The 5,977-nt window shown below is 37.4% G+C and overlaps 1 annotated feature.

The window, feature by feature from the left end:
* Window positions 4,413–5,612: an enhancer, noted in NCBI's record as "CDK7 strongly-dependent group 2 enhancer chr10:113297943-113299142 (GRCh37/hg19 assembly coordinates)". NCBI's record gives its function as "activates an origin of replication core promoter dependent on BRD2, BRD4, P300/CBP, MED14 and CDK7 cofactors, with strong dependence on CDK7, by STARR-seq in HCT116 cells {active_cell/tissue: HCT116}" and the evidence as "EXISTENCE:reporter gene assay evidence [ECO:0000049][PMID:35650434]".

The following is a 5,977-nucleotide window of genomic DNA, read 5'->3' as shown; positions in this document are numbered from 1 at the left end:
TATGATATAATTCTTCATTATTTAAATCTTCTTTAATTTCTCTCAGCAATGTTTTGCAGTTTTTGAATGTGGAGTTTTTGTACATAATTGGGTTTTATGGTATCATTAATTTTTAAATAAGTATTTTTTGTCAATATATGTAGAAATGAAGTTGATTTTCATATTTTGACCTTGAATCCTGTGACTTTACTACATTCACTCATTCATTCACATACTATTTTATAAGATTCTTTAGGATTTTCTAAATAGACATTTATATTGTATGCCAAAAAGGCAATTTTCTTTCTTTCTACTCTTTTGCATTTTTTCCTTGACTATTCAACTGGCTAGGATCTCTAGTACAATGTTGAATAGAAGTGAACATCCTTGCCTTATTTCTAAGCTTAAAGAGAAGACATTCAATATTTTACCATTTTTGTAGATGTTAGCTGTAAATTTTTCACAGATGACCTAAATCAAGTTGATTTTGACCTTTTGATATATTTTCATTACTATTCAATTTAAAATGTTTTCTTTCATTTTTTAAATCCATCCCTGGAAGCACTTATCATTTGAGTTACAAATAATCCAATTACACTCTAAGTTATTTTAAAATATACAATTAAGTTATTACTGACTATAGTTGTTTTTTTTGTTTGTTTGTTTGTTTGAGACAGAGTCTTGCTGTGTTGCCCAGACTGGAGTGCAGTGGTGCGATCTTGGCTCATTGCAGGCTCCACCTCTCGGGTTCAAGCAATTCTCCTGCCTCAGCCTCCTGAGTAGCTGGGGTTATAGGCACCTGCCACCAACCACCACACCCAGCTAATTTTTGTATTTTTAGTAGAGACAGGGTTTAACCATGTTGGCCAGGCTGGTCTTGAATTCCTGACCTCAAATGATCTGCTCACCTCGGCCTTGCAAAGTACTGGGATTACAGGCGTGAGCCACTGCGCCCAGCTGACTATAGTTATTTTCTGCTTTCTCTTGCCACTTCTTCACCAGGGTCATTTTGAAGTGGGTTGTTTAATTTACAGATATTTATGGATTTTTCTAGATATTGTATTGTTATAAATTACTAATTCTTGTGTGATCAGAGAACATAAAAGATTTCTATCTTTTAAAAATCACTGAGGCTTATTGCTTTGTCAAATGAAATTGTGAACATTTCATGTGCATTTGTAAATAATGTATTTTCTACAGTTGTTGAGTATAGTGTTCTGTAAATCTCTCAGGTGGGTCAAGCTGGTTTATAGTATTATTCAAATTTATTTTTATACCTTTATCAACATTTTTTTACCCTACTAGTTATATCAAGTATGGCAACACTCCTAAGAGAAGTAATGTTAAAATCTCCAACTATAATGATGCATTGGTTTATGTTTCTATTGATTTCCAGCTTTGTGAATTTTGCTGCTTTGTTATTAATTGTATATATATTTTAAAATTATGTCAGGCTGAGCATGGTGGTTCACACCTGTAATCCCAGCACTTTGGGAGGCCGAGGCGGATCACGAGGTCAGGAGTTCGAGACCATCCTGGCTAACACAGTGAAACCCCGTCTCTACTAAATATGCAAAAAAAAAAAAAAAGAAAAAAAATTAGCTGAGTGTGGTGGCGGGTGGCGGGTGCCTGTGGTCCCAGCTACTTGGGAGGCTGAGGCAGGAGAATGGCCAGAACCTGGGAGGCAGAGCTTGCAGTGAGCCAATATTGTGCCACTGCACTCCAGCCTGGGCGACAGAGCGAGACTCCGTCTCAAAAAATAAATAAATAAAAATAAATAAAATTATGTCTTCCTCATGAATTGTACCTTTTATTGTTATGAAATGTCCATCATCTTTATCCATTTTCTTGCAATATTTAGTCTCTTTCTGGTTATATATTTAGATTGTAATATAGCCATACTTGCTTCCTTATGTTTGCTTTTGGCCAGGTATGGCTTTTTTTGTTCTTCATATTTCAACTTTGTTTTGTTTATTTATATTGAAAATATGTTTCTAATGTATAGCATATAGTTGAAACCTGCTTTTCAACTTAGCCTACCAATCTCTGCATTTTAATTCGAATCTTTAGTTAGTACATTAACATTACATTGATATGGTTCTATTGAAGTTTACTACTTTGCTATTTATTTTGTAATTGTCCAGTGTTTTTGTTTTTGTTTTAGCTCTTTTCTGCCTTTTTTATTTAATGAACCATTTAATAGCCCCTATTTTTAGTTATGATATTATTATCTTTATTGAATACTTTTGGGTTAAAAATATACAAGCTTGATACACCAATGCTTATTTTGAAATTGATATTGTACCTCTTCAGACTTTGAACCTGATAGTTTTCATTTTCTTCTTCTCAATTCCCATTTCACACTGCAAAATAATGTAATTATATTTACCCAACCCCACATCATTTGTACTATTTTTGTTATAGACTTTATTTATAAATATACTGTGAGCATCAAATTAGTGTTATAATTTTTCCTTAAAAAAGTCAGATGTCTTTTCAGAATATGAGGAAAAAACTGTCATATATTTATCTAATTATTTACCACTTCCAGTGGTCTTTTTTCCTTCCCACATAGCCAAGTTTCCATCTGGTATTAGATCCTTTCAGCCTGAAAAGTAACATTTAGCCTTTGTTATAATTCAGGTCTTATGGTAATGCATTTTTCAGTTTTCATTTTTATGTTTATAAAGGATACTTTCTCATATTTCTCTATAAAGGATACTTTCTCATATTTCTCCTTAGTTTCAATAGAAGCTATCATCCTTAGTTTCCCTGTATGTACTGTGCTTTATCCACTTTCAAGATATTTCGTTTAATTTTGAATTTTAGCTGTTTGAGTCTGATTTGCCTGGGTGTGGTTTTCTTTGCATTTATCCTGTTGTGGATTCACAGAGCACTTGCATCTATAAGTCAGTGTTTATTATCAAATATAGGAAATATTTGGCCATTAATTTCTAAGTACTTTTTCTGCTGCTTTCTTGCTCTTTTCTCCTTCTGAGCCTCTAATTACATGTTTAATAGGGTTCCCAATATTCTCCCAGAAGTTCCTGATGCTCTGTTAATTTTGCTTCAGTCTTTTTATTTTAGACTCTGTTGGGTGGGTCTAGAATAGGTCGTTCTCTAAAAGTGTGGCGCTTTCTTTTAAAGTAAGTACTTTCTGATGTCTTAACTAGATGCTGGAGTGTTAATGAGCTCTTTCCACTTTAACTGGACTGGACCACCAATGCCCCTCAGCACTGATTTGTGTCTATAAACTCTTTTGCATTCTCAATACTATTAACAGCCACTTTCTCCTAAGCTTTTCCATGTAATCTGCAAAGCGTAACCCTCAACTAGTAATATCAAGGAACTCTCATACACCCCATGTTCAGCTTTCTGCCTCTGATGCCTTACCATATAGAATCCGGCTCTTTTAGCTGCCCTGAATTCTGACCTCTGCCTCTTTTGCTTGGTGGGACACCTGCACTCTGCCTGGACTCCAGCTCACTAGGTTGACGTCAAAAAAATTGTACCCAGGAAGAAAGCTGGGTGATCTTGGGGCTCTCCTTGTGAGTTTCCTTGATCTTAGCTATTGTGGTCTTCCCTGCCTGTTATTCAATGCCTGAAAACGGTTTTGTAACAATTACTCTTAACAATTACTTTACCATAGCCAAGTGAAGATAAAAAATTGTTATGCGTATGCTAAATCTACTTCTTCAGATTGTTTTTACATAAACTCTAAAATGTCATAAAATTAAATGGGAAAGTGTTTTTATCATGGGAAAATTGGGAAGTATTTTTGGCTTGAACTCACAAGGTGACCGTGTTTCTATATTTGTTTGCCTTGTCCTGTGGGGCAAGATGGTCTAGAAATGTTCTAGATAGTGTGACTCATTGTCTTTTCAGTTGTCAGTCTTCTGTGGAAATTCTAAGATTCCATCAGTCTAAGCAGGCCAGACTTACCATTTCTGCAACTTTTTCTCGATTTTTAAATGGTTCAGGCCTCTCTTTCTTGAAAGGTCCCTGCTCCTTCCTAAATGCTAAATCCAGAATGTTGTAGGAGAAGGAATGAGTGGCTATTCCCTTTGAGCATTTTGTTTGAATAAGAAATACCAATGTTCTTAAGGTGTATTTTTAAGCCACGCGAGGAAGGCTGGCACTCTTGACTGACTGGAGTTTCTTCTATCATGGGTTTTCTTTATTAAACTCTATTAAACTCTTTTTAAACCTTATTAAAGTATTGTTAGATCTGTGTCAGGACATGCCCTTTAAGAAGGTCTCAGGAGCCAATTATGCTGAGGACCAAGAACTCAAATAGGCAATGGAGGGAAAGCCAGCAAAAGATAAGAGAAATTGGGCATATTCATCAGGCCAGATGGTCAAACCGGAAGGCTGAGCCACCTGAACACACTGTGTTATTTTATTGGCCATTAAGCCAAGTAAAATTTTGCAGTAATATTTAACAACGTTTTTTTTCTCCCTCATTTAAAATCATCAGGCCTGAAATGTGTCAAGTGAAAGCTGAACACAGAATGAAGTCTGTTTCCAGGAAATGTCACTAAGGGTTTTGAAGCAGCTGACACTGTCATTGAAGTTCTATGGTAGCAAGATTACAGAATTGATCAAGGGTTTCCCAGTGGATCAGATGAGTTAAATATATGTGAATTCTCTAGGGCTTGACTTTTTCTTGTTTTACTTCACCTCCAAGGAGGAGACCATGGGAGTTCCCCCTAAACCAGTCCTTGCTAGACAGTTATTTAAAAAGAAATCATTCTAAGACTTCATAGCACCTAGAACTGAAGTAGAACCCAAATCTCATCCCATGCCCCACCCGCTACCCCCAACCTAAGCTGCCATTGCTCTCTGTGCATGCACCAGAATGGCCATCTTGGTTTAAGTGCTGTATCCTGGCTCTCCCTAAAGCCTTTCTGTGTCCTCAGCATAGAGGACACTCGTGTTCTTGTGTTCTTTTCATTCTGATGTTCTCAAAAGGTTCGCTTCCAAGAGGATGCTATGTATTGGCTTCAAGACCGCTGGGAAATGTCGAGAGGGCTCCTAGGATCTGATGTCATCAGTGTTTCCTGCGGCTCTCCATGAAGTGTGTTTTGATCTTTCTTTCTTCCAGGGCTGCTGCTTCTCAGCTGCCCCATTTCCTTTTTCCAGGACTGCGTGGGTCTGTACCAGCTCATCATTTCAGTCACTTTCATCTTCAGAGTGAATCCTTAGTCACCTTTAAGTGGCTTCAGGTACTAACTTTGGGTCAACTTCTAATAAGTATAGAAGAATGGTACGTTTTCCTCTTTTCAGGCTTCCAGTTTATTGAGTCAGAGATTTCAAGCTCTACCCAAAACCAAGAGACTCCAAGTGTCAAATCGTCAAATGAAAGAATTTTCTTGAAGTTTCAGCCAATTCTTCCCCCAGAATGTAGGAGGACTGAATATTTCTGAGTTTGGAATCTGGCTAGAATCTTACCTGGGCACCTCAGTTGCAGGCTATCTCCCTGCCACAACAGCTTCCTCAGTGGAATTCTGGGTTGAAGAGAGAATAAGGAAATTAATACCGAACTATTAATTTCATGTGCCCTGTTGAAATGCGGAAGCTGATTGTCCATACTGATGCCATCGTCACTGACTACATTAAAGTTTCTGTACAAATTCAGTAAGCATTTTGATGCCAGCTAGGCAGTGAGAGACATGTACTGGGGATACCAAGCTGAATGAGCAGATGCCCCTGCCTGCAAAGAGCCCACGTGGAAGTCAGTGGTCCAAACAGTAAGAGTCTGAAACTGTTTTTAAATAGGTCCTTTTCACTCTACAGGAAATAGGAATCTCTGGACAGGAAAAATCTCTGCTAGACCACACTATTTGTGTACCACCAGATGCTTCATACCTCCCCACCTCCACTTCAGGAGCTCCATGGCCCAAACGTGCTTTGCCACGTCTGTCCCTCAGATGTGGGGTTTTCATTTGCCCTAGCTCAATTTTCATTAACTACACTGAATGCATCTTTGCCTTCTTCT

Source organism: Homo sapiens, chromosome 10 (assembly GCF_000001405.40).
Source record: "Homo sapiens chromosome 10, GRCh38.p14 Primary Assembly".
Taxonomy (NCBI): domain Eukaryota; kingdom Metazoa; phylum Chordata; class Mammalia; order Primates; family Hominidae; genus Homo; species Homo sapiens.
This window is presented reverse-complemented; position numbering and strand designations above follow the sequence as displayed.